Source organism: Homo sapiens, chromosome 11 (genome assembly GCF_000001405.40).
Source record: "Homo sapiens chromosome 11, GRCh38.p14 Primary Assembly".
Taxonomy (NCBI): Eukaryota; Metazoa; Chordata; class Mammalia; order Primates; family Hominidae; genus Homo; species Homo sapiens.
Genome location: NC_000011.10, coordinates 70,395,008 through 70,420,786, shown reverse-complemented (window position 1 = coordinate 70,420,786; position 25,779 = coordinate 70,395,008). Strand labels below are relative to the sequence as shown.

General features: G+C 50.6%; 1 protein-coding gene and 1 long non-coding RNA gene across 8 annotated transcripts in view, besides 9 other annotated features; one reads left to right on the top strand and one right to left on the bottom strand.

The window, feature by feature from the left end:
- The window catches only part of CTTN (cortactin), a 38,047-nt gene extending 15,789 nt beyond the window's left edge, over window positions 1-22,258 (bottom strand). For 5 of the 6 annotated variants that reach the window (NM_005231.4, NM_138565.3, NM_001184740.2 and 2 more), the window contains exons 1-10: window positions 22,173-22,258; window positions 15,426-15,522; window positions 13,403-13,489; window positions 13,196-13,269; window positions 10,827-10,956; window positions 6,135-6,245; window positions 5,070-5,124; window positions 3,664-3,774; window positions 931-1,041; window positions 277-387 (exon numbers count right to left, since the gene is read on the bottom strand). In NM_005231.4, the coding sequence (NP_005222.2) occupies window positions 277-387; window positions 931-1,041; window positions 3,664-3,774; window positions 5,070-5,124; window positions 6,135-6,245; window positions 10,827-10,956; window positions 13,196-13,269; window positions 13,403-13,489 (790 nt within the window). In that variant the 5' untranslated portion in view covers window positions 15,426-15,522; window positions 22,173-22,258. The remainder of the gene's footprint in view (window positions 1-276; window positions 388-930; window positions 1,042-3,663; window positions 3,775-5,069; window positions 5,125-6,134; window positions 6,246-10,826; window positions 10,957-13,195; window positions 13,270-13,402; window positions 13,490-15,425; window positions 15,523-22,172) is intronic. The other variant, XM_006718447.4, reaches the window with a different exon arrangement.
- Window positions 43-1,242: an enhancer, noted in NCBI's record as "CDK7 strongly-dependent group 2 enhancer chr11:70265651-70266850 (GRCh37/hg19 assembly coordinates)". NCBI's record gives its function as "activates an origin of replication core promoter dependent on BRD2, BRD4, P300/CBP, MED14 and CDK7 cofactors, with strong dependence on CDK7, by STARR-seq in HCT116 cells {active_cell/tissue: HCT116}" and the evidence as "EXISTENCE:reporter gene assay evidence [ECO:0000049][PMID:35650434]".
- Window positions 5,361-5,562: a silencer, noted in NCBI's record as "fragment chr11:70261331-70261532 (GRCh37/hg19 assembly coordinates)". NCBI's record gives its function as "represses an EF-1alpha promoter that drives an FKBP-Casp9 reporter gene in an ReSE screen in K562 erythroleukemia cells {active_cell/tissue: K562}" and the evidence as "EXISTENCE:reporter gene assay evidence [ECO:0000049][PMID:32094911]".
- Window positions 16,429-16,608: a silencer, noted in NCBI's record as "fragment chr11:70250285-70250464 (GRCh37/hg19 assembly coordinates)". NCBI's record gives its function as "represses an EF-1alpha promoter that drives an FKBP-Casp9 reporter gene in an ReSE screen in K562 erythroleukemia cells {active_cell/tissue: K562}" and the evidence as "EXISTENCE:reporter gene assay evidence [ECO:0000049][PMID:32094911]".
- Window positions 19,750-20,044: an enhancer, noted in NCBI's record as "tiled region #1776; K562 Activating non-DNase unmatched - State 14:Gen5'". NCBI's record gives its function as "activates a minimal TATA promoter and a strong SV40 promoter by Sharpr-MPRA in K562 cells {active_cell/tissue: K562}" and the evidence as "EXISTENCE:reporter gene assay evidence [ECO:0000049][PMID:27701403]".
- Window positions 21,332-21,401: a silencer, noted in NCBI's record as "silent region_3704". NCBI's record gives its function as "represses an Ori minimal core promoter by ATAC-STARR-seq in GM12878 lymphoblastoid cells {active_cell/tissue: GM12878}" and the evidence as "EXISTENCE:reporter gene assay evidence [ECO:0000049][PMID:35858748]".
- Window positions 21,983-22,492: a silencer, noted in NCBI's record as "silent region_3703". NCBI's record gives its function as "represses an Ori minimal core promoter by ATAC-STARR-seq in GM12878 lymphoblastoid cells {active_cell/tissue: GM12878}" and the evidence as "EXISTENCE:reporter gene assay evidence [ECO:0000049][PMID:35858748]".
- Window positions 22,325-25,779, top strand: part of CTTN-DT (CTTN divergent transcript) — a 35,819-nt gene continuing 32,364 nt past the window's right edge. For both annotated transcript variants that reach the window (NR_186321.1, NR_186322.1), the window contains exon 1: window positions 22,325-22,689. This is a non-coding gene — a long non-coding RNA (CTTN divergent transcript). The remainder of the gene's footprint in view (window positions 22,690-25,779) is intronic.
- Window positions 22,593-22,642: a silencer, noted in NCBI's record as "silent region_3702". NCBI's record gives its function as "represses an Ori minimal core promoter by ATAC-STARR-seq in GM12878 lymphoblastoid cells {active_cell/tissue: GM12878}" and the evidence as "EXISTENCE:reporter gene assay evidence [ECO:0000049][PMID:35858748]".
- Window positions 22,893-22,962: an enhancer, noted in NCBI's record as "active region_5162". NCBI's record gives its function as "activates an Ori minimal core promoter by ATAC-STARR-seq in GM12878 lymphoblastoid cells {active_cell/tissue: GM12878}" and the evidence as "EXISTENCE:reporter gene assay evidence [ECO:0000049][PMID:35858748]".
- Window positions 23,740-23,928: a silencer, noted in NCBI's record as "fragment chr11:70242965-70243153 (GRCh37/hg19 assembly coordinates)". NCBI's record gives its function as "represses an EF-1alpha promoter that drives an FKBP-Casp9 reporter gene in an ReSE screen in K562 erythroleukemia cells {active_cell/tissue: K562}" and the evidence as "EXISTENCE:reporter gene assay evidence [ECO:0000049][PMID:32094911]".

Genomic DNA, 25,779 nt, shown 5'->3' with positions numbered 1-25,779 from the left:
GGGTAAACCCAGCCCCCTGCTGCAGGCTTGGCCCGTGCAACCCACTTCCAGGTAAACCCAGCTCTCTGGGGTACCACCCCGTGTCAGCAGGGAGGGTTTGTGACTACACTAGCTGGAGGGAACTGGGGGATTGGGGGGGCACACAGGACAACTTCAAACAGTGAAGACAAAACAATGTGCAGCAGGCACACGCAGACACAACACATACCAACTGACCCCGCAAGGAACAAAAACAAACTTCTAAAACCATCTCGCATACAGGCAGAGTGAATGTACCTTTTTGGGATTCATGCAGCTGCAATTTCTCCTGGTGATCCCAGCCAAGGGCACATTTGTCTTGTCTGTCTGTCTGCACACCAAATTTTCCTCCAAACCCTTTCACATAGTCTACATGCACAATGAAAGGCCAGAACCCATCATTAACAGGTAGTGCAGGTCACAGGTGGAAAGTATGTTTTCAATACAGTTAAACGCATATGATTCACTCAATCTACTCTTCCCTTCCGGATCTTTGGTAATACTTTAGATAACATCCATGAAGAGGCCCTCCTTGGAGAGTGGCAGGAAATAACCTAGTCTATGACCTCAGCATCGTGACTAAGCCAGACAGGACCCCATGGAAGCTCCCACGCATGCGGCTTCCACCCGCACCATGAGACAGCACAGGCTCACACGGGCAACACAGACGTGCGGGGTGTGGCCACCACGATAAGCAACGCCGCTGGGGCTGGAGCGCCATAACACTCAAGCTGCGAGTTCCTATTTAGCAGCTGTGTTTCTGGATGTGCCGTTTTCAAGTTGGGCATTTCATGAAAAAGAGACATCTACGTTAAGGGCTATCAATAACGCTTTGTTTTTCCTTTTCCGGTGTGGCTACCACCTGTCACATTACTAGCTGCTGGCTGGAGGGTAAGATAAAACGGAAGACACCTTTCTGGGACTCGTGCTTCTCCGTTTTGCCTTGATACTCAAAGCCAACGGCGCTCTTATCCACTTTGTCCTTGTCGATACCGTATTTGCCGCCGAAACCTTTGGAGTAATCTAAAAACAAACAAAAAAGGACTACTTTAAAAGGAGCAACGAAATCAGTGAACATGCAAGTATTTTATCCTTTGATTAAAAAAACAAAAATCTTTCAGGTCCACTGTAGGACCACTGAATAATACAGACAGTATTTAAAGGTGCTATTTATGTGTAATAACAGAAACACAAACAGTGGTAACCAGAGGTGGGGGTGTGTGCCTGCAGCCCAGCTACTCAGGAGGCTGAGAAGGGAGGATCACTTGAGCCCAGGAGGCGGAGTCCAGCCTGAGCAACATAGCAAGACCCCATCTCTAAGTTAAATCATTAGCTAATATTTTAAAAATTCAAAAAACAGGCTGGGGGAGGGGGCTCACGCCTGTAATCACAGCACTTTGGGAGGTCGAGGTGGGTGGATCACCTGAGGTCAGGGGTTTAAGTCCAGCCTGACCAACATTATGAAACCCCATCTCTACTAAAAATACAAAATTAGCTGGGCGTGGTGGCCCACACCTGTAATCCCAGCTACTCGGGAGGCTGAGGCAGAAGAATCACTGGAACCCAGGAGGTGAAGGTTGCAGTGAGCCGAGATTGCGCCACTGCACTCCAGCCTGAGCAACAAGAGTGAAACTCCATCTCAAAAAAAAAAAAAGAATTAAGAAAAAAAGTTTTTTTTTTTAAAGTACAGCAGAGGCTGGACACAGTGGCTCACACCTGTAATCCCAGCACTTTGGGAGGCCAAGGTGGGCGGATCATGAGGTCAAGAGATCAAGACCATCCTGGGCAACATGGTGAAACCCCGCCTCTACTAAAAATACAAAAATTAGCTGGGCTTGGTGGTGCATGCCTGTAATCCCGGCTACTCAGGAGACTGAGGCAGGAGAATTGTTTGAACCCGGAAGGAGGAGGTTGCACTGAGCTGAGATCGCACCACTGCACTCCAGCCTGGCGAGAGAGAGAGACTCCGTCTCAAAAAAAAAAAAAAAAGAAATAAAGTACAGCAGATGAATTCCTGTAACATCATCCATTGCATCCAGAAGCTAGCAGGAGATGAGAGTTTATGATAAGGCTCTAAGCTCAGGAGGCAGCAGAAGGGCAAGGCTTTCAAAGGCCACTCTTCACAAACTGAAGCACGCAGGGGGATGCCAGGAAATAGGACACACACAGCATCCTCCAGAAACTTCAGTTCTACTCAGAATGAAGCCATTTAGCATGTCACTGTGACACCAAAACATGACTCTCTCATGGACCCACTAACAGCACAAGGCAGAGGATCAAGGCCTGGGAGAGAAGGCCTGAAGCATCCAAGGAGCCTTGCGTCTGCCCAGGTGCTCGGCCTGTGCTCCCTGGCTCCCTGGAGTCACACACTCATGCAGCTTCGCGGAGCATGCGCTGCTCACAACTGTGTGGTGTCGGGAAGAGGAGGAATGGACTGTTCCCAGGAAAGAGGCAGAGAGCAGAGGCAAGCAGCTCTGTGCGGCAGGCAAGGCCTGACCGGCAGGAAGGCAAGGCCAGGCCAGGCCGCGACAAACTACAAGCCAAGCTGCCCTCCAGGCCACCGGCACTTTCCTCAGGGAAATGCCAAGCCAGCATGGTCGGATCTTCCAGTGGTGTTTCTTGCTTTGGGGTAATTTTTTTTTTTTTTGAGTTTTTAAATAGTCAAGCTCTCACTTTTCAAATGTTGGCAAATATTTTTAAAAATTTAAATGTGCAGGCCAAACAAGAGGCACAGGGAAACAGGCAGGCCACAGCCTCTGCAGCCCTGGGAAACGCTCTGAGTGATGGTGTACAGGCTATGCAGTGGGGAAGGAAGAACTCAGCACAGCCTCCAAGGACAACTTGGCAGTATCTATGGAAATTTTACATTCAATAGCCTTCGACCCAGCAATTCCATGTCTAGGAGTTGATTCTTTTGAATAATCACTTGTGAACAAAACACAGGTACAAGAATGTTCCCTGCAGTCAAGTTTCAGCTGGGCGCAGTGGCTCACACCTGTAATCCCAGCACTTTGGGAGGCCAAGGCAGGGCGATCACCTGAGGTCAGGAATTCAAGACCAGCCTGGGCAACATGGCAGAACTCCGTCTCTACTAAAAATACAAAAATTAGCTGGGCGTGGTGGCGTGTGCTTGTAATCCCGGCTAGCCGGGAGGCTGAAGCACGAGAATTGCTTGAACCAGGGAGGTGGAGGTTGCAGTGAGCAGAGATCACGCCACTACACTCCAGCCTGGGCAACGGAGCGAGACTCCGTCTAAAAGAAAAAAAAAAAAAATTTACAGGTCACACCTGTAATCCCAGCACTTAAGGAAACCAAGGTGGGGGAGGATTGCTTGAGACCACGGAGATCAAGACCAGTCCGGGCAACACGGCAAGACCTCATCTCTACCAAAAATAAATAAATAAATAAATAAATAACCTAAATTCCACATTCAAAAAAGGAATGGTTACATGGACTATGGAATCCTCATACGATGGGGAACTGTGCAGCCATTCGAATTAGGAAAAGCCCACATACACTGGTACGAAAAGAACACCAAACATTTTCAGTTAAAAAATCTACAACAATCACGTGTGCAGAGAGAAAATGCCCTCGTGGGTGTTTCTGGAGCAAACGCGTGATTACAGACCGTGGGGTCCGCCCCACCTCTCTGTGACTCGTGCTTCTCCGTCTTGCCCTGGTAGTCGAAGCCCACCGCGCTCTTGTCTACTCGGTCGGCCTGCACGCCATACTTGCCGCCAAAACCACTGGAGTAGTCTGGAGAGACAGGGCAGCAATTAGCACGGGGGCCTGAGGACGAACTACACTGTTCCTTTTGTTAAACTAAGCAAAAGTGTGTAGGGGTTACAACTCACAAACACATCAAGCGCACATTTTAAAATGTACAACAAGCCACCCACTGCTCCATACAGGTGACGCTGGACCCTGTTTCACAACAGGTGCATGGGGGGGTTCTGGGCCCTGTCAGCTGTTACAGGGCAGTTCCTTTGTGTAGTCAGAAATGACGCTGCATGCCCACTTTGAAAATCAACTGCTCAGGTAAAAGCTGGAAAGCTTCATACAAAGAACCAGCACTTTGGAGGCTGAGGTGGGCGGATCACTTGAGGCCAGGAGTTTGAGACCAGCCTGGCCAACGTGGCAAAACCCCATCTTTACTAAAAAATAGAAAAACTAGCCAGGGGTAGTGGCACACACCTGTAATCCCAGCTACTTGGGAGGCTGAGGCAGGAGAATCGTTTGAACCCAGGAGGCGCAGGTTGCAGTGAGCCGAGATCGTGCCACTGCACTCCAGCCTGGGCAACAGAGCGAGACTCTGTCTCAAAACAAACAAACAAACAAAACAAAATGAAAAAAATGGAAAGAGAAAGCCTCATATGAAGAAAGCCATGCAGCTGAACATGGGAGACAAGACCCTGATCCTCCGCCTGCCCACACCACAGCTACCTCCACCTAGACTGCACCGAGACTGCGTAAGGACTGAGAGCTTGTTCCGCGGATGATGCAATGACACAAAGGAGGAAGAACTAAATAAGCTTGCAAAAAATAAACTGAGAACTTTAAGGTGGCGATATGCTTTGGTCTTTCAAAAAAGAGACTGCATGATGTAATCAAGATTAATCACCAGCAGTTAAGACCGTATGTGTATAAGGAAAACAAGAATTTAACAACTCTGGTTTCTAGCCTTGGGGGGAAGTTAGCTTTCTGCCGATCAATCTGTGAGCTCTCTTTTCCAGGAGGAGCGCTGCCCAGATGAAGGGAAGGCGGCTTCCGCTACAAGGGGGAGAAGCCCCACAATGACAGCAGATGCCAGGGCTCCGAGGGGGATGTGTAACGGGGAATACATCCATCATGTGGTATCCAGATGATCCAGAAACATGAAGAGGAGGGCAGAGTCCTCCTTGTGGCAACAGCCACCGCTCAGGAAACGGCTTCAGGTGGCTGTGACTCTCCCCATCAGGGCCCCCGGAGCGCGGGGAAACGGCTTCAGGTGGCTGTGACTCTCCCCATCGGGGCCCCCGGAGCGGGCTCTTTCTGCACCTTTCGCGTCTTACCTTTCTGGGAGGCATGCTTCTCAGTCTTCCCCTGGTATTCAAAGCCTACAGCAGACTGTGACGACCAAAAACACATGAAAAAGTGGGGAGAAATACTTTCCAATGTCCCTGAAACAATCTCTCTGAATTCATGACATGACATTTAAAAAAATATGAAACACATGATGCTGTGACCTCTGGGTTCCTAAGCCAGGTGCAGGTGGCAGTGACGCAAGAGCTCTGGCATCCTAAACGGACAGGCCCACTGCAAGGCCCAGTGGGCGGCGCAGGCCAAGCCATATCCCTGGTGACCTGCCCTCCCCAGCATGCGGCAGCAGGGAATGCTCAGCTGATTCATTCCACGGGCTTCACAAAAACTCGCTTCTCAAATAAGTCATGCTGAGAACATTAGTATTAGTAATGAGAATAGCAGTGGCCACCAGGGGTGCACTCCCACCAGCCAGGCACTGCGATGGGCATCTGAGCAAACACCCGTGAGATAGGTATGATCATCCTCCTTTCACAGACACATAAATTCAGAACCGTGGCTAATATGTCACAAAGCCACAATCTGCGACCAGCATCAGCTCCCTGCTCCCTCCAGGCTCCTGATCGCTCCTCTATTAAACAAAAGAGCCAACAGACCCGAGCCGAAGAGAATCAAAGAGGCTCGGGCCTAGGATGACTGCAACAACACCTGGACGCAAAGCCTGGGTCCTGGACACGAGCGCATCCTGCCCCCCCGGTATAGGCTCTGATGTCACTCTGTCACAGTAACACACATGTGAGAAACACGGGTGGAAACGGTCCCTGCTGGCACATTGGGACAGACACAGGGCCATCCAGTACTGAGGCACGTAGTGAAGAGCGACCGCAGGGACTGCTACAGCAAGCCCGCCGCATCCTGCTTCCTCTCTCTGAGAGCCCAGGCTCTCAGAGCATCCTGGGAGGCAGATGCCCCTCTCTGCAGTCCCCCAGAGCTGGAGGGCACCTGCCTGCTACTACAAGTGGCCCAACAGGGCTCAGATCTACGGGGAACGCCCCCCTTGCCCCAACCTGCCCCAGTCCCAGTGCCACATCACTCACCTGATCAACTCTGTCCATCTGGACACCAAACTTGCCTCCGAAGCCACGGACCGAGTCCACCTGCGAGCAGTGCTTGGAAAGTTTCGACTGATATTCGTGGCCGACAGCTGACTGGAACAGGGTTCAAACACAAAGCATTAGACACCAACAACACTGCGGCGCTTCACTTCCTCCCAGAGCAGGGCTGGGGGAGGCCACATCCTGGTCAGTGCAGGGAAACCTTACATTAACACACCCATCTGGGGAGCCAAGGAAGGCGACACGACTCCTGGGAGGCCCGGGTCCTTGGTGCAGGCTTTTTTTTTTTTGAGACAGAGTCTTGCTCTGTTGCCCAGGCTGGAGTGCAGTGGCGGGGTCTCGGCTCACTGCAAGCTCCGCCTCCCAGGTTCACGCCATTCTCCTGCCTCAGCCTCCCGAGTAGCTGGGACTATAGGCACCCGCCACCATGCCTGGCTAATTTTTTGTATTTTTAGTAGAGACGGGGTTTCACCGTGTTAGCCAGGATGGTCTCCATCTCCTGACCTTGTGATCCACCCGCCTCGGCCTCCCAAAGTGCTGGGATTACAGGCGTGAGACACCGCGCCCAGCCCTTGGTGCAGGCTTTCACGGCCCACCCCAGCCCTTGGGCTCCTGGAAGCTGCACACGAACCCTGGACACAGGTCGGGGCCACCAGTGGGGATTTCTGACACGACCGGGCATGAAGAAGGTACACAGAGCTGGCAGCCTGTGGCAGGATCCGTGAGACCCGCTGGTGTGGAGACTGCTGGCATCTACTGAAGTGGGACCTCTGTGAATCACATGACCAAAGAATCGGCACAAAAAATAGTCTGCCAGCAAACTATTTTGTTCTAATAGACTATAAACAAAAATAGTCTGCAAGACACAGGCTCACACTGGATTTCCGCTGAGCAGCACCCTGTTCAGGCAGGAGCCAGCTGCCGGCTCCCATGCCAGCTCATTTCAGCATCATTAATGTCGTCAGCCCCCATCAGCGCACACAGGTTTGGGGACCTTCTGTTCGCCAAAGCCAGCAGGTAAAGCCCAAGGTTCCCCTGGGCTTTCCAGACCCGGCACCCAGCTCTTCTGTAAATAACGCCTCTGGGACACAGCCACAGCCATTCACAGGTGTGCTGTCCACAGCTGCTTGTGTGATTCAGCAACTCCGTTCGGCAGTTCTATTGAGAGACCCTCTGGTCCACAAAGTGGAAAAGATCTCCTACCTCAAAGCACTGGCCCTGCTCCAGTCCTGACACCGAGGCCCCAGGGTTCTGAGGCTCCCTCCTCACAGCAGAGCCGGGTCAAGGACTCCTTCACAGACAGTGCGGGCACATGGCCCAGCAGAGGGCGTGGAGAAAGTCCACGGCACATCGGGACCCCTCTTCTCACTCCCTCTAGCATGTGGAGCCACTCATGCTAACCTGCTAACCCAAGCAGCATCCCACACCGGTGCTGACGCAGCAGGCAACTCAGAGAGTGTCCACTATTTCCCCTATTGAAAAAGCAGGTCTTGCCCTAAGCCTTGGGCCTGTGCTGCGCCCTCTTCTTCCCACGTTTGTTTTGAGGTTGGCAGCTGACTCTCTTTCCACATGAGCCATCACCTCCAAACCCTCTGTGGCAGAGACTGCCCATCCGTGTCCTCCGGGGTCTCACCCAGAAAACAGAGATGAAGGAGTGGCAGAGGCAGACGTGCCAAAGGGATTCCCCAGCATGAGTTTTCATCAGAAGGAAGTTACAGGAAAACTGATCTAAAGACATGCCCAGAATGACAACTAGGCAAAGTTTCCAGCTTTTTGATTGAAAGGGATTCATCTCCAAAATTGCCTTCGATTTCACATTGACAAAATCTGTTATTAAACAATCACGCTGGGGAGATTGTATCTTGAAGCCTGAATATGTAGACTCAGGGCTACGGGATGCAAGGAGACAAGGGATCAAGAAGGAAGCCTGCCCCGCGTGATGGATGCAGCCACCGCTGGCCGCAAGGGAAAGGTGCAGTGTGCTCAGGCCCCAGCATAAACAGAATCCTGACAGCCCGTCCAGGCTCCTCTCGCGTGTGCTTGTCCTCAATGTCTTCTTTTGTTCTGGAAGTCTCTAGCACATATTCCTCAAGTCTTAACGCAGAGATTTCAATTTTTTATTTTTTTTTTAGTTTCTGGAGTGGGCAAGTTACAAATAACTTAAGCCGTTTCCCCTTCGGTTTGGAATCTGAGTTTAATCTATTTATTTCCTGAGACAGCGTCTCTCTCTGTCGCCCAGGCTGGACTGTAATGGTGCGATCACAGGACACTGCAGTCTCCACCTCCCAGGTTCAGGTGATCCTCCCAGCTTAGCCTCCCAAGCAGCTGGGACTACAGGTGTGCACCACCATGCCCAGTTAATTATGTTTTTGTAGAGATAGGGTCTTGCTATGTTGCCCAGGCTGGTCTCAAACTCCTGGGCTGATAAGATCATCCTGCCTCGGCCTTCCAAAATGCTGGGATTACAGGTGCCAGTCCCGTACCTGGCCCTGAGTTATTTTTGACAACGTATCTGTCCCATGGTGCTGACCTGAGCTGAGCGCTAACCTGGCCCCGATGCCAGCTGGGACTGAGCAGCAGCAGCATCCCTTGCTGGACTCGCCCTGCTAGGACAGCTCTCCAACTTGCCGGCTGAGAGGTGAGAGCAAGGCTCCATAAGCCTCCTTGGTTCCATGAGAGCACTGGCCTAAGGGGGGGGCACGTGGCACTGAGCCAGGCACAAGGTGAGGATGACAAGTCCCGACCCTTGAAAAGCCCAGCCCGGAGGGGAGTCTCCCTGGGAAGGACAGCAGGATGAGGCAAGGACAGCTCATGAGGGAAGCAGAGGCTGCTGTGGAGACCGCACAGGAGAGAGGGAAGTGAGGGCTCTTCCAGGGAGCTCCTGGCACTCGGGAAGGCCTGAGCTGCAGGTTCTAGGGTGAGCGAGATTCGCGCTGAAAAAAGGTGCAGGCCGAGCAGCAGCAGAGAAGCCACAGCAGCTTCCCTACCAGGCTCTCCTGACACGTTGCCTTTCTTTTCCCCAATATGTAATTTTCCCAACCCACAGCAGGGAGCCCCATTTTTAGAATAAATGTCTCTCTGCGCTAACTCCCCACAAGCCCCCTAAGCACAGGGCTCGCCTCAGTCTGCAGTGGGAAAGGCTCCTATCTACTTGCTTCGTTCACTGCACTGAACACATGGATTCCGTCTGTCCGTGTGCACACGCTTCGCTCGCTGCACTGAACACGGATTCCGTCTGTCCGTGTGCACACGCTTCGCTCGCTGCACTGAACACATGGATTCCGTCTGTCCGTGTGCACACGCTTCGCTCGCTGCACTGAACACATGGATTCCGTCTGTCCGTGTGCACACGCTTCGCTCGCTGCACTGAACACATGGATTCCGTCTGTCCGTGTGCACACGCTTCGCTCGCTGCACTGAACACATGGATTCCGTCTGTCCGTGTGCACTTGCTTCGCTCGCTGCACTGAACTCAGGGGTCCGTCTGCCTGTTTACACTCCTAAAAGCTACCAGACTTTTTTTAGACTCCAAAGATGATGATTCTGCACACATTGCTCTTCTCGGTGTCAGGGCATCTCTGTGGTAGTGACGCAGCAACATCCATGTCTCTTTCCTGCAGAAGGTCCCTCACCCCACTCCTCCCCCAGGCTATTTATGGTCGTGGTTTGGGGTGCCCTGCCGGCCCACCACATCATCTACTCTGCGGGGGACAGAGCAAGGTGCAGCTCACTGTGACACGGCAACATCATCCCGTGCCCAGCTCAAATGTTCATCTGGCTGGTGCATGAGGTGGGAGAGGGGTATGGAATTACCGGCTGGAATCCGACACTGGCTAACACACTTCTTTCCACAGAGTAAAGGCAAGCATCTGTCAGGTCAGAACAAGCTTATGTTGCTCAGACTCAAAAGTTCACCTCCAGGATGTCTGTTTTACTGAAGAAACATGCAAACACACTGCGATCTCTTCCATCTTCTCTCCAGGAAGGAAAAGGTAGCCCTCCTGAGCTAACGTGGCTCCCTTTCTTAAGGTAGAGAGGACCTAAAGCACGGGTGCAGCCGGATGCATTTGGCCAACGTCCTCAATCAACGTCTGCGTGGCAGTCTGCATCCCATCAATGACAGCTGCTGGGAGGCTTGCCCAGACCTCTCGAATAGAGTGAGCACTGTCCCCAGCCTGGTACGCGCCGAATTTACACGAGGGAGACTGCTCTGATGGTCACTGAACGCATGAAGGATGTTAGCCAGGCCTTTGGCTGGATTCCGTGTGTGCTGTGAACCATGGGGACCTACAGATTTGACTTTGGTCTTCGGACTGGCATGACTTAGGCTACAGACTGGAACCACAGGCATTGACAGTGATGACACCTAGAGCCAGGATGCTTCTGGACTTCTGTCCTATCACAAGGCTGCCTCTGAGGGCCAATCTCCCTCTCTGGGCCTCCCCACTAACACCCGTGCTCCAGCACCTCTGAGGATTCCTAAAGAGCTTTGAAGAAAGCTAGAGTACTTCATGAGTAAGTCCAATCAACAGGGGTCTACTCCGGGCAAATCGCAACCTCAGCAGATGGACTCAAAACTGCTGATCTAAGGAAAGACTGAGGGACGACTCTGCCACCCAGTCTAGTGGTCCAAGCACACCAGGAGCCTGGCATAGGCAGCCGCGGGCCACTTACCTTATCCATTCGGTCTTGTTCCACACCAAATTTCCCTCCATAGCCATGGGAAGCTTTTGGTCCTGTTTCAAGTTCCTTCTCCTTAAGGGTCTGATGCTCTTGAAAGACATTCTCCCTCAGCTTGTGTATGCTTGATGGAAGAGATGAAAATAGGAACAGATCAATAAAACAGACGTGCAGCTTTGCCTCCTGGTATGATAAATAAGAACAGGTGACATTATCTTTGTAAATTTGTAAATCTGCTTATCTGATGTTCACCGATTCTCTCCCTGCACTGTGCCTTCCTGACTATTCTGCCGGCTGGTACACCCACTTCGGCAGTCTGCAGTATCAGACGCATGCTCTGTGGGAGACAGAACACGAATCTGAAGGCAGACACTGGGATCATCCCAAATCCCCGCTAAAGATGGCTCTACTGAAGCCTGACCTTTATTTCACACGCAGAAAATAGGAAAGCTAGTCTGTAATCATCCAGAGGTAGAGGGGGAAACACGAGGCTATGGTCCCTTCCTCGGCCACTGGCAGAAGTCCAGTGGTGCTGAACATTCAGATGATTCGTCTGTACTTGAAGTACTCCAGCTTTTTTATACATTCAAAGATGAGAGGAAAGCGTTTCAGAATTTAACATCTAAATGCCATTAAAAAATTTTAATACAGCAGATAATGAAACAGATGACAAGGTTTGCTCAAATCTGGTAGGCCAGACACAGCTGTCATTGAGAGACCCCAGAGTGATAAGAAGGCCACTTTGGCATTCGGACTTTCTGCCCAGGAGACACCAGGACGCCACCTTTGACATCTGGACGACAATCCTAGAATTGAAGATGAAATACAAACCAGGCTTGGAAACCGCCCAATACCCTTATGAGCAGGAGAAAGAAAGACACCACTCCTAAAACCTGGGAAGGCCCCAGAGCATGAAGAATGGGCTTATTCCCCATGTGTTCCTCTCTGAATCCTAACCAGCCCAAGGGTTTTGTACTGGAGAGTTGTTTTTTCTCCAAGCCACCCTCCGAGACATGTTTTGAAGCCACAGGGAACAGAAGAGATGAGAAGAGGTATGATGACTCAACGAATTCAGGAGTCTGCTTAACGCCATAGCAAATACCCAAGGCTACAGTGGACTCCCAAGTCAGCCCCATTCCAGTCTCTTGTCCTGGGCAGCCGCACGGCCACCGGAGTTCCGAAGCTGCTTCTGTGGAAGGGAGTGTGCTGAGCAAGCCAGAGAGGGACTAAAACTTGTGTATAAAAAGCCACTGGGGGCCAGGTGCGGCGGCACACACCTGTGATCCCAGCACTTTGGGAGGCTGAGGCAGGAGAATCACCTGAGCCCAGGAGTTCAAGACCAGCCTGAGCAACAAAAGCAAGACCTCATCTTTACAAGAAATAAAAGCACTTAGCTAGCCATTGTGGTGTGCGCCCATGGTTCCAGCTACTCAGGAAGCTGAGGTGAGAGGATCGCTTGAACCCAGGAAGTCAAAGCTGCAGTGAGCTATGATTGCACCACTGCACTCCAGCCTGGGTGACAGAGTGAGACCCTGTCTCAAAATAAATAAATAAATAAATAAATAAATCTTTAACAACAAAATAAAAAGCCATTGTGCAGGCTGTGCCTTCTTTTCTGGAGGAAGGACTAAATCTTTCTCAGCTGAAGGGACCGTGGTCAAGCGGGACAGTCTTCCCGGGATACTGAGGCGGTCACCGGGTCAGTGGTGCTGCCTTCACAGCCAGGGAAAGGAGGATCCACTCTGAACCCAGCGTGGCCTAAAATAAAAGTCTGAGCATATTTTAAAAGTTCCTTTTATCTACACTTTCTGACGAAAAAAAAAACTGCCCCAAGAGCTGGCATTTTAGATAGTGCCAAGTGAGAAACAATGACAGGGTTCACTCAGTGCCCAACTCTGGGCTTTCGATAAGAACACAAAGCTCACAGTACCTCACTATTAACACATAATCATTTCCAGATAATAAAAAAAGGGACAGGGCATTTAAGGTCTCAGTTATTCAGACATCTCATACTTTAGAAACCTCTCGCTTGTAAGGTAGAGCTTAGGGACAAATGTTCCCTGATAAAAGCCACAATACTGAGAAGCGGACACTCTAAAATTATAAATACGGAAATTGTTTGCAATGGGAATTTAAAAATTACTGAGCACAGAAGTATCTAAATATACACATATAAACACACACATTACACAAATACACATATATGTGTGTGTCTTATATTCATTTACTGCATGGGTATCAGGTCAAGAAGATAAATGCAGTTTCCACACGGGCTGTCCCTCCACAGATGACCATGGGCCCTGTTGCACCTGGGGCTCCATCCGCAGAGGGGCCCTCGGGAGGGTGGTGGCGACGCCTCTTACTTGATATGCTCCTGGTGCCCGGAGCCCTGCACCGTCTTGGCACCCCATCTTTGCTCCTTCTCACTCACATCATTCTGAAAAGAAAAGCGACCAGTAAATCTCACAGCCTGGATTGTGACACAGACAAACCACCACCCCATCAAAGAAAAACCCAGGAGAGCCACTTCCACTTCATGAAAGAGGAAAGCAAAGGCTGGCGGCTCCTACCACAAAATCAGGGTCGGTCTCCCAGTCATCGGCCCCCGCGTCATCCTGGGCGATGGACACAGCGTGGCCTGCTGAAGCTTTCCACATCTGAAAGAGCAGCCGGGGAGGGTTACGGAGGCCTCAGGGCGCCATCCACAGAGGCCAGCAGATGAGCCCTTTGGCCAAAACTACCGAGATTCTAGGCAACCCAGGAGGACGAGGCTGCAGGACCAGCCAATCCTTCATGATCCATAAGCCTGACTGACAACCACAGGAGTAAAAGAAATTTCACCTCGGGGTTCTAACACTGCCGTCACCTGACGTCAGAAATATACTGGAAATACTATTTGGCTTCACCTTGAGTGAGAAAATTTTCTGGAAAATAAAAAAGTCGTGTGTGCACTTATTTATTCATTAAGAACATATTCCTGTTCTGTTCAATCATATGATGATAGTTTCCAACCAAAAATAAAAGCACCATTTTGGATTATGTATTATAAATATACTAAATGTTACTAATGGTAAATCTCATGGTATGTGTATTTTATCACACATTTTTAAAAAGTGCACCCATTTTGATTTCAAGTGCTTACTGAAACCATAACAATAATTTTCCTAATTCAGACTTACAATTTAATAAATGTTTCAAGTAGTTTATTGGAGAATTGCTTTACTCTCTACTTGGAAGAAAACAGGAATATAAAATGCCACCTTTTCCTCTATCAGGCAGCTCTGCAAGTGGGCAGCCACCTTCTCCCTCAGCCCTTGAAGACTGGAAGGTTTTCTCTGTTATACAGAACAATGGCACATCTGTAAACCCTAACAAGACAATTCTTGTAACTGCAGTGGTAAAATATAAAATTTTAAGGTTTTTTTTTTTTTTTCAAACTATGTATAAAAAGAAGTGATTCCTTTTCCACAGAAATAGTAATACAATTACACATAGGCCACAGAGCAACTGAGAGATTATTTTAAATCAAACAACCATAAGCTGTGCCCAGGGGTCTGAACTGAGGACACCCAATTCACTTTTTCTCAGGTGCCATGTTGGGACTCTAGCGCCCTGAATCAGGACTGGACAAAACCCCTTCGCAGCTTGAGAATGTCCCATCTGGCTCCTCTCCCTCCAGCCTGGCTGGGTCTCAAGTCCAAATCCAATGTGACAGTGAGGGACCAATCAGGGCAGCGTGCTCTCAAATTTCTAGGTGCGACTTTGTCTCTTGGGGAAGAACCGTCTGCCAAGGGGTGTAGCAGGACTAACAGTGCCCCTGGAACCTTCTGTCAATGCCCAAAGCATGGCAAGAATTTCCAGAGTGATCTGCTTTTGCCAGGATTTTAGAAAACAGATGAACTAGAATCTCAGAACGGAAAGGCACAACCAGTCCATCTTGTCCCAACGCGCCCATTTATAAATGAAGCAACGGCTGCAGGAAAGAGAAACGGGATGCTTGGTCTCCGGCCGCCCCATGGCACCATGCTGCCCTGGCGAGGGGGCTGCCCGCCTGCAGGACTTCAGCTGCCCATGGTTCCCACCACTGAGAAGGTGGCTGCAAGAAAGGATGGGAGTCCCTGCAGGGCTGGCGAGGCCACCTTCACCCCCAAGGCAAAGGAGAAAGGCGGCAGGTGTCTTTGCCTGGTACTTTTTCAGGCTCATCGGGGAGAGATTAGCAGAGCACAGTCTCTGCTCATCTTCCCGGACACAGCTTCACCAGCGAGCGGGGTGGGCACTTGCGAGCTTCACAATCCTGTGCCTGGGGGCCCCACCCATGTTCATGGGGTGGGGAAGGGGCCAGATTTCCCCTCAGGGAGGACAGGAATGGTTCTCTTCCTCAATTCCAGAGTTTTCTGCAATTGTCTCCTCTAAGTCATATGCAACAGAAACCTGACTTTATTTTTTAAACAATGAAATTTCCTTCCAGAATATTATCATCTCTCTCCCAGTAAATCCACAGAAACAGCAACCTCCCCCGTTTCCTGTTAAAGGGATTTTTGCCCTTACCATCCACAGGAAAAGAATGTTAGGATGTTCACAATGCACAAGTACCTTTCTTTCCGCTTGGAGATAAAAGGCTGTTCACGAAATTCTGTTTAAAACACAGTAATCCAATGAGGAATTTCCAGGCATTGGGGACTGATTCCGTCTGTAAAAAGATTAAGGGTAAAAAGCTGAGAAGGATGTATGTTGAGCAGCTCCCTGGGCAAACCCTTCTGTGTGGAGATCTTTTTAGAAAACTTCAGAAATCTTCCCAAACGTAACAAGGTTTTGTAATGAAATCTGAGAGGAGGATGGGAAGACTTGCATTTTACTAATAAAAAAGTTCAACAGAGAGAAACTAAAGAAATAAGTTTTAAAAGATTTCTAACTACATGATGACTTTTTGTCTTTTTTGTTTTGTTTTTTTTGAGATGGAGTTTCACTCTTGTTGCACAGGCTGGAGTGCAATGGCACAATCGCGGCTTACCGCAAACTCCACCTCCCGGGTTCAAGTGATTCTCCTGCCTCAGCCTCCCAAGTAGCTGGGATTACAGGCAGGCGCCACCACGCCCAGCTAATTTTCTATTTTTAGTACAGACGGGTTTTCTCCATGTTGGTCAGGCTGGTCTCAAACTCCCGACCTCAGGTGATCCGCCTGCCTTGGCCTCCCAAAGTGCTGGGATTACAGGTGTGAGGCATGGCGCCCGGCCTACATGATGTTTCTTATGAATGCAAACAGAAATTATTGCCTTAATTGCTAGTATGCATTTACTGTTTGCCATAATTCTTAGAGATTTTCACTTTTTATTCATTCTAATTAATGACATTATAAAATAAAATTGTTACTGTGAGCTTTTTAAAACAATAATATAAGAAAAACACTCCTTGAGAGGATCATGATATGGCCGGGAGGAAAAACCAGTATGGTGACTGTCTATCAAGACATGAGACTGGCAGCTGGAGAGCCGAGGAGGAGGCGGGCTGCATTCCTAATGAACGTACACGGTTACCGCGCAGGGAGCAAGACTCCAGCTCCCCAGAGGGTGGCCAAGCACACGACCCCTTCCCTAGGACCACACATCAGCCTCAACTGGACACCATACTGCTAGACAACACACATGGACGAATGAAATCCCCTTGTCCCTAGGAACAAGCCGGTCACAGGCAGAGTGGTTTCTCACGCATTAGGAACTAGGGGATGGTGCCTGGCTGGCCCTCCTGGTAATTAATTAATTTCCTATCTGGTTTCTGACCCAACTGTTTGCTCCATCTCTCTCCCCAGTTCCCTTCGGCAATCCTAACTTCTACAGATTGCTTGCTACATTCTGGTTACTGCAGTTATTAGTGTAATCGGCAAGCATCTATACAACTCTGCCTAAAAATTTAGCCAGGCATGGTCGTGTATACCTGTAGTCCCAGCTACTCAGGAGGCTGAGGTGGGGGAACTGCTTGAGCCCAGGAGCTCAAGGTTGCAGTGAGCCATGATCACACCACTGCACCCCAGCCTGGGAGACAGAGAGAGACCCTGTCTCATACATAAATCAATCATAAAGTAAATAATAAAAATCTACTCATGAGCAGCTAAGGATAGGCTCAGATCCACAATTTTATACTCTCAATATTGGAAATTTAAAAAACAATCACAAAAATAACCAATAGGAAATAAGTTTGATTGTTTTGTGGATCCAAAGATAAAAAGCCTCTAGAGCCCTACCTCAAAACCATACAGAAAAATTAACTCAAAAATGAACTAAAATCCTAAAAGGGTGTAAATTTTTGTGACTTTGAATTTGGCAATAGTTTCTTAGATATGACACCAAAACACTAGAGGAAAAAAATAAATTGTACAAAATTAAAAATTTTGTGCTTCATCAAGAAGGTGACAAGACGATCCTGAGAGAAAAGTATTTTGAACTGTAGATCCAGAATATATAAAGAACTCTTGGCCAGGTGAGGTGGCTCACGCCTGTAATCCCAGCACTTTCGGAGGCCGAGGCGGGCGGATTACTAGGTCAAGAGATCGAGACCATCCTGGCCAACATGGTGAAACCCCGTCTCTACGAAAAATACAAAAATTAACAGGGCGTGGTGACGCATGCCTGTAGTCCCAGCTACTTGGGAGGCTGAAGCAGGAGAACTGCTTGAACCCGGGAGACAGAGGCTGTAGTGAGCCGAGATTGCGCCACTATACTGCAGCCTGGCGACAGAGTGAGACTCCATCTCAAAAAAAAAAAAAAAAAAAAAGGAACTCTTATAATTCAATAAAAAGGACGAATAACCCCATTTAAAAATGATTGAAGGATCTGAAGAGACATTTCTTCAGAGGAGATATACAAATGGCCAACAAGCTCAGGAAAAGTTTGTTCAATGTCATTAACCACCAAGGAAATGCAAATCAAAACTGCAATGAGAACCCACCTCATACCCACTAGGATGACTAAAATAAAACAGCCAATGACAAATCTCAGCAACAGTGTTGAAAAACTGGAAGCCTCATAGACTGCTGACAGGGATGTTAAATGGAAAAGGTCTGGCAGTTCCTCAGAAGGTTAAACTCAGGTACTGTATGACTCAGCAACTCCACTCCTAGGTCTATGCCCAAGAGAAATAAAGTATAAGCACACAAAAACTTGTGCGTGAGTGTTCAGAACAGCACTATTCATAGCAGCCAAAAAACAGAAACACTCCAAATGTCCATCAACTGATAGATACATAACATGTGGTCTACCTAACACAAAGGCATTTTATTCTGCCACAAAGAGGATCCAGCAGTGACACCTGCTACAGCGTGGAGGGACCTCAAATCCATTGCGCAAAGGAAAACCACGCACAAAAGACCACATATTATACGATTCAATTTCTAGGAAATGTCTGGAGTTCACAAATCTACAGAGACAAAAGATACATTGCTGGTTGCCCAGGGCTGGGCGGATGGTGGTGGTGAGGATAGGGAGGTCATGGCTAAAAGGTACAAGGGCTTCTTTTTGAGGTGATAAAATTATTCTGAAATTGACTGTGGTGACAGTTGTACAACTGCATGAAGATACTAAAAACCAGTGGAGAGTACACACTACACAGGCGTATTGTATGGTATGTGAATTATATCTCGATAAAGCTGTTACAATACGGTTCAAAAGAAGATAATGACTCTGTCCATCCTCAACATTAAACCTTCCTTGCAAACGTCAGTGTACAAATCAAGATTGCACAAACGTGAAGTAATCTTGCTGTCTAGACAGAGTGAAAAATTCCTCTACACAATAACTTTTTTTTTCTTTTTCAGACAGTCTTGCTCTGTTGCCTAGGTTGGAGTGCAACAGCGCGATCTCGGCTCACTGCAACCTCTGTCTCCCAGGTTCAAGTGATTTTCCTGCCTCAGCTTCCCGAGTAGCTGGGATTACAGGCATGCGCCATCACACCCAGCTAATTTTTTGTATTTTTAGTAGAGATGGGGTTTCATTATGTTGGTCCAGGCTGATCTCCAACTCCTGGCCTCAAGTGATTTGCCAGCCTCAGCCTCTCAAAGTGCTGGGATTACAGGCACGAACCACCGCGCCTAAAAGCCCCCCACCAGCCTTTTTTTTCTTTTTTTTTTCTGAGACAGGGTCTTGCACTGTGGCCCAGGCTAGAGTGCAGAGGCACAATCTCAGCTCACTGCAACCTCTGTGTCCCAGGTTCAGGTGATCCTCCCACCTCAGCCTCCCGAGTAGCTAGGACTACAGGAATGCACCACCACACCAAGCTGATTTTTCTCTCTCTTTTTTTTTTTGTTTTTTTTTGTTTGAGACGAAGTCTCACTCTGTTGCCCAGGCTGGAGTGCAATGGTGTGATCTCAGCTCACCGCAACCTCTGCCTCCTGGGTTCAAGCGATTCTCCTGCCTCACCCTCCTGAGTAGCTGGGACTACAGGCACCTGTCACTACACCCAGCTAATTTTTCTTTTTCTTTTTTCTTTTGAGATGGAGTCTCAGTCTTTTGCCCAGGCTGGAGTGCAATAGTGTGATCTCGGCTCACTGCAACCTCCACTTCGCAGGTTCAAGCGATTCTGGTGCCTCAGCCTCCTGAGTGGCTGGGACTACAGGCATATACCACCACGCCCGGCTAATTTTTTGTATTTTTTTTTTTAGTAGAGACGGTGTTTCACTGTGTTAGCCAGGATGGTGTCAATCTCCTGACCTCGTGATCTGCCCACCTCAGCCTCCCAAAGTGCTGGGATTACAGGTGTGAGCCACCATACCCGGCCAATTTTTCTATTTTTAACAGAGATGGGGTTTCCCCATGTTGCCTAGGCTGATCTCGAAACTCCTGGGCTCAAGCAATCCACCTGCCCTTAGCCTCCCAAAGTGCTGAGATTACAGGTGTGAGCCACCGAGCCTGGCAGAAGAATGTTTTAAATGACAGGACAGAACCATCCGTCCACCATCAGCTTTCCATTAGCCTCAGCATCTATGGCAGAGCAGGAGGAGAAAGGAAACAGACACTTGCGTAGCCAAAATCACCATCACAGGCACACTCCCTACACCACACTTACTCAAGGGAAACCCCGCCCCCAACATTTACTCCGTTTACTCAAAGCAGTGCGTGAGCAGATGGGGTGGGCCTGGGCCACAGTGAAAGCCAAGCCTGCTCCTGGAGCACAGTCCCCTGCTCTTGGCTGGCCCAGGCCATGGGAATACTGCAACACAAGGCAGCAACCAGCGCTCACAGCAATTCACACTCTCAGGACACCTTTTCTGAGCACCTACTGCGTGGCACAGACTGAAGATCTGAATTGCCGATTATGTGTGCTGTCATTTTAAAAGTGTTTTAAAAACAAGTCCATCAAAATGCTACAATTAAAAGTCAGCTTTAGCTGGGCCTGCAGTCCCAGCTACTTGGGAGGCTGAGGTGGGAGGATCGCTTAAGGCCAGCAGTTCAAGGTTGCAGTGTGCTAGATGGCACCTGTGAAGAGCCTCTGCACTCCAGCCTGGGTGACAGGGTCTCGCTCTGTCACCCAGGCTGGAGTACAGTGGTGCGATCGAGCTCAATGCAGCCTCCAACTCCTGGGCTTGAGATCCTCTGCCTCAGCGCCCCAAGTAGCTAGGACAACAGGTGCAAGCCAACATGCCCAGCGAATTTCTTTTTTTGTAGACACAAGGTCTCCCTGTGTTGCCCAGGCTAGTCTGGAACTCCTGGCCTCAAACGATCCTCTCACCTTGACCTCCCAAAGTGCAGGGATTACAGGTGTGAGCCACCGCACCCCTGCCCCAGGTCAAAAGAAATTTCTTTTCAGTAAGATATAGCAGAAGGTTAGCTTCTAGTTCTAGGGGACCTAATATCAAAACAACCCTGCCTCCCCAACTTTTTATTGAGTCCCACTTAAAAGACTCTTCCTTGTTCCTTGAGTATCTGGCGAATACTTCTCTAACCAGAGGAGAAACAGGACTGACTCAGTGCTCTGGAGCCAGTGACTCACCCACACGGTCAAACACGTGAATGGAGACAGGGGCAGGCGGCCAGCCCCTCCTGCGCCACGGCCTTGGGCCCGGCCGGGCTTGAGGGCTGGATCATGCCTGAAGGACCTAGTGGGTGAAGTCCCCCCGACAGAGCCTGCGCAGCCAAGTCAACACTGAGCCCAAAGGGAGCGCATGGGATTCCAGGGAGCGCTCACCGGATGCCTCCGGAGCTTCCTTCAGCAGAAAATGAATTCCTCCCCAAGGGGCCCCAAACGTCCACAGATTCCAGCGGGAGGAAGCCCTGTCCCTTCTCACCCAAGGCCTTCCAGCTTCAGGGATCAGGCATCCCTTAGACTATCCAGGTGATGGAAACGTAACAGAAAGCCCCAAAGCACCGTTCTGGTGATTTTAAACACACCCCGAAGGAGGGACGGTTCCAAATTTAGAGCCTCACGACTAGCTGCAGCCGCGCCTCGCTGCCTCCACTGACCTGATTGCAAAACCTCCGCTCAGGTGCAGGCCGGGCGGATCCCCAGCTGCTCCGCCACGTCCCACAGCGAGCCCCTCAAAGTCGCGCACCCCAACCGCCTTGACCCCGCGGACCCCATCCCTTTTCCCTGCGCCTGGATCCCTTCCCCTGGAGCCCCAATCCCCTCCCCTCGGACCCTATACCTTTCCTCCGAGCCCCGACCCCTTCCCCTCGAACCCCAATTCCCTTCCCTCGGACCCCATCCCAGTAGCTCTGCGCCTGGACCCCTTCCCGTCAGACCCCAATCTCCTCCCCTCGGACCTCATCCCTTTCCCTCTGCACCCAGACACCTCCCTCTCAGACCCCTCGCCCTTTCCTTGAGACCCCCCACACCCACCTTCCTTGGCCCCTCGAACCCCGGCCCCCTCCGCTCAGACCCCCGAACCCCACAGGCCCAGCCCCTCTCCCTCGGGCCCTAATACCCTCCCCCTCGGAGCCCATCCCCCTCTCCTATTCCCTCGGACCCAAGACCCCTCCCAGCCTGGCCCCTCTCCTGCCCTGGAGCCCCCCGGCGCCCAGGGACCCTCCCCTCAGAGCTGATACCCCAATTTGGCCCCTTTCTAACCTTCCTCCGCGGACCCCAGCCCCAAGCCCTCCGTGCCCCCTTGCCCCCTGCCCGGCCTCCTTGGGCCCAGACCCGTCCTCGTGGCCCTCGCGGACCCCCGGCCCTCGCCCTGCCCCGCCCCAGGCCGGGAAAGCCTCGCCACTCTGCCCCGGCCCCCGAAACCGCAAGCGGAAGAGCGGTGAGACCGCTGCGGCCGCCGCTTCCTTCCCCTTTCGCGGCCAGGCGACGCCACAGGAGGGAAGAAGCAGAGCCCGGCCTGCACCCCGGGCGGACGCCGCGCTCGCTCACCGCCGCCTGGGGTCGGTCCGGCCCGGGTCGGCCCTGGATTCCGCCGCGCCAGCCGCTCCCAGGCACCAGGCTCTACTTCCGGTTCCGAGGGCGGGGGCGGGGCCGCATCCGGGTCCCCGCGCGACCCCGCCCCCTGCCCCGCCTCCTCCCGCGTCTTGGCCCGCAAGAGTCCCGGGGGTCCGCCCGCAGCTGGCTAAGCGCTAGCCCGGCCTGTGGCGAGTCTGCAGAGCTCGCCCGGAAGTAGCGTTGCGCGCGCAGAGGATGGGCGCTGAGCAGCACACAGCCCGCGGCGGGGTCTCAGGATCCGCGGCGCTGCCCGGGGCCGGGGGAAGGAAGCCAGCCGAGGAGACGCACGTGCCCTGAGTCCGGGAGCGGGGAGCCTCTTCATCTCTCCATCCTCCCTCCGCGCGCGCCCTCAGCCGTCCTCGTCCGCTCACCATGCACCTCCCCTCCAAGAAAGGGCCACATGCGTGCCAGGGACGCGAGCCCCGGCCACAGGGACATAGCAGCCTAGAAGGTGAGTCAAGCGTTAAACCACATGGGTACTCACCTGGGAAATGAGATAAATGCCAAGAAGTGAGAGTTTCATAACATCGTATTGGGGAGACGGTAGGACCTGAACCCCTGGGAGACCAGAGGTTTCTTTGGGCGATTCACATGTTAGCCAAGATGTGAAGGCCCTATAAGAGTAAACAAGGTAAGGAGGGAAGAATTTTCCAGGCAGGCCAACAGCAGGTTCCAACAGCAGGGCCAACAGAGGTCCCAAGGCAGGAACGGTCTTGCAGCAGGGGAACTGGAGGAGGCTCAGCTCAGCATGGTAGAGGGCTAGTGGTGCAGCGGAGCTGTGGTGTGAGAGGGGCCAGGTCATGCAGAGGCCGATAGAGCACAGCGAAGACCTCGGTCTTTATTCTGGGAGACACGGGAAGTCCTCGGAGGAAGTTAAGCTGATAAGAGACATCATGAAGTTTGGGCCAGGCGCAGTGGCCCACGCCTGTAATCATAACACTTTGGGAGGCTGACATGGGAGGATCGCCTAAGGCCAGGAGTTCGAGACCAGCCTGGTCAGCATAGTGAGACCCTCGCCCCCGCCCGCCATCGCTAAATAAATAAATAAGACATAATGAAGTTTGAATTGTAATGAGATCACTCTGGCTGCTGTGTGGAAGATGGATGGGAGAAGGGCCAGGTAGAGCCTAATGTAGCCAATTCGGGCAGACCGCTGGTGGCAGGTAAGATGGGGAGAAGTGGATAGATGCAAGAGGCATTTAGAAAGCTAAACTGTCAGATGTGAGGATGAATTGGAAGTGCGGGTGGCGGAAGGAAATGTCAGGTGTTGACCATTTTTTTAAAGGTAAAATCATGACCTTCATACACATATAAAATGAACACGTCAAATATTTTATTTAACTCGATAATGAATACATCATAAGTTGTTACAAATTGTTTAAAGAATTTGGCCAGATGCAGTGCCTCGCGCCTGTAATCCCAACACTTTGGGAGGCCAAGGCAGGAGGATTGCTGGAGGTCAGGAATTTGAGACCAGCCTGGGCAGCATGGCAAGACCCTGTCTCTACCAAAAAAAAAAAATTTTTTTTAAGAAAAAAATTAGCCAGGCATGGTGACGTTTACCTGTGGTCCCAGCTATTCTGGAGGCTGAGGCAAAAGGACCGCTCCGGCACGGGCAACAGAAACCCTGTGTCAAAAAAAAAAAAAACGGAAGACGAATGCTGAAATGAATTTGCAAAAACTGCTCTATCTCTAGTGCAAAGGTCAATTGCATTTAACTGGACACAGCTAATTTGCATTTTCTGTGCACAAGGATTGTTGGCCAGGCTTGTAATACCAGCACTTTGAGCGGCAAGGCCAGAGGATTGCTTGAGCCCAGGAGTTCAAGACCAGCCTGGGCAATATAGACCCCATCTCTGAAAAAAAAAATTTTTTTTTTTACATTGCTGACTGTTTTTTTTTGTTTGTTTGTTTAATCTTTAGAGACAGGGGCTGGAGTGCAGTGGTGCAATCAAGGCTCACTGCAGCCTCGATCTCCTGGGCTCAAGTGATCCTCCCACCTCAGCCTCCCAAGTAGCTGTAGCTGGAACTACAGGCACGTGCCACCACACTCAGCTAATTTTTTTTTTTTTGAGATGGAGTTCCCCTCTTGTTGCCCAGGCTGGAGTGCAATGGCGCCATCTCAGCTCACTGCAACCTCTGCCTCTCGGGTTCAAGCAATTCTCCTGCCTCAGCCTCCCGAGTAGCTGGGATTACAGGCGTGCGTCACTTTGCCTGGCTAATTTTGTATTTTCAGTAGAGACAGGGTTTCTCCATGTTGGTCAGGCTGGTCTCGAACTCCCGACCTCAGGTGATCCTCCCGCCTCGGCCTCCCAAAGTGCTGGGATTACAGGCGTGAGCCACCATGCCCGGCCTCTAATTTTTTAATATTTTTGTAGATACTGGGTCCTGCTGTGTTGCTAATGCTGGTCTCGAACTCCTGTGCTCAAGTGACCCTCCTGCACTGGGATTACATGTGTGAGCCACCACATTGCCAGGCCACATTGCTGCCTGTTTTTTAAAGGTTAATTTCTGCCTCTACAGAGGTATGAAATCATCTAGTCAAAAAAGCAGGCATAGCCGGTGGTGTCCATCTCAGAGGGAGCCCTGTGACTGTATTGATCCAGCACAAACCCCTCCTCTCAAGTCCCTCACTGTGTCACACCTTTTGCCATAAGAGGTCATAGTCATAGGTGCTGAGGATTAGGCTGTGGACATATCTTTGGGCGCCCACGGAAATGTTCTTATTTCTATTAAAATTGGAAAAATGAACTTTTAGGTTGAAGAAAATGTATTTTATTCAAGAAAACATGTAAAGAAAATATAGCAGCCAGGCGCGGTGGCTCATGCCTGTAATCCCAGCACTTTGGGAGGCCAAGGCAGGTGGATCACCTGAGGTCAGGAGTTCAAGACCAGCCTGGCCAACATGGTGAAACCCCGTCTCTAAAATTAAAGTACAAAAATTAGCTGGGCTAATTTTACAGAGAAGGAAAGACAAAGCTCACTGCAGACTTTTCAGCAGGAGGGCAGCGTTCGTGGCTTAGAAAGACCAGTCTGCTGCCGGTGAAGAGCAGGGTGCTTCAGAGTGGCTCCCAGAGAGAAAGGGGCAGCACACTCTTCCACATGCCCATTGTGCTCCCCAGGAGAATGTGTGGCAGAGACTGAGGCTGGCCACAGGAATTACACATACAGTGTAAAATTTGCAAAGCAAGAAGTATAGCTGTGCTCAAAAATAGGTCGAAGCCGGGCGCCGTGGCTCATGCCTATAATCCCGGCACTTTGGGAGGCCAAGGCAGACGGATTTCTTGAGGTTAGGAATTTGAGACCAGCCTGGCCAGCATGGTGAAGCCCCATCTCTACTAAAATTCAAAAAATAAAAACAAAAACAAAAACAAAACTGGTGGCTGGGCGTGGTTGCTCACGCCTGTAATCCCAGCACTTTGGGAGGCCGATGCAGGTGGATCACTTGAGGTCAGGAGTCCGAGACTATCCTGACCAACCTGGTGAAACCCCGTCTCTAATAAAAATACAAAAATAAGCCAGGCATGGTGGCAGGCGCCTG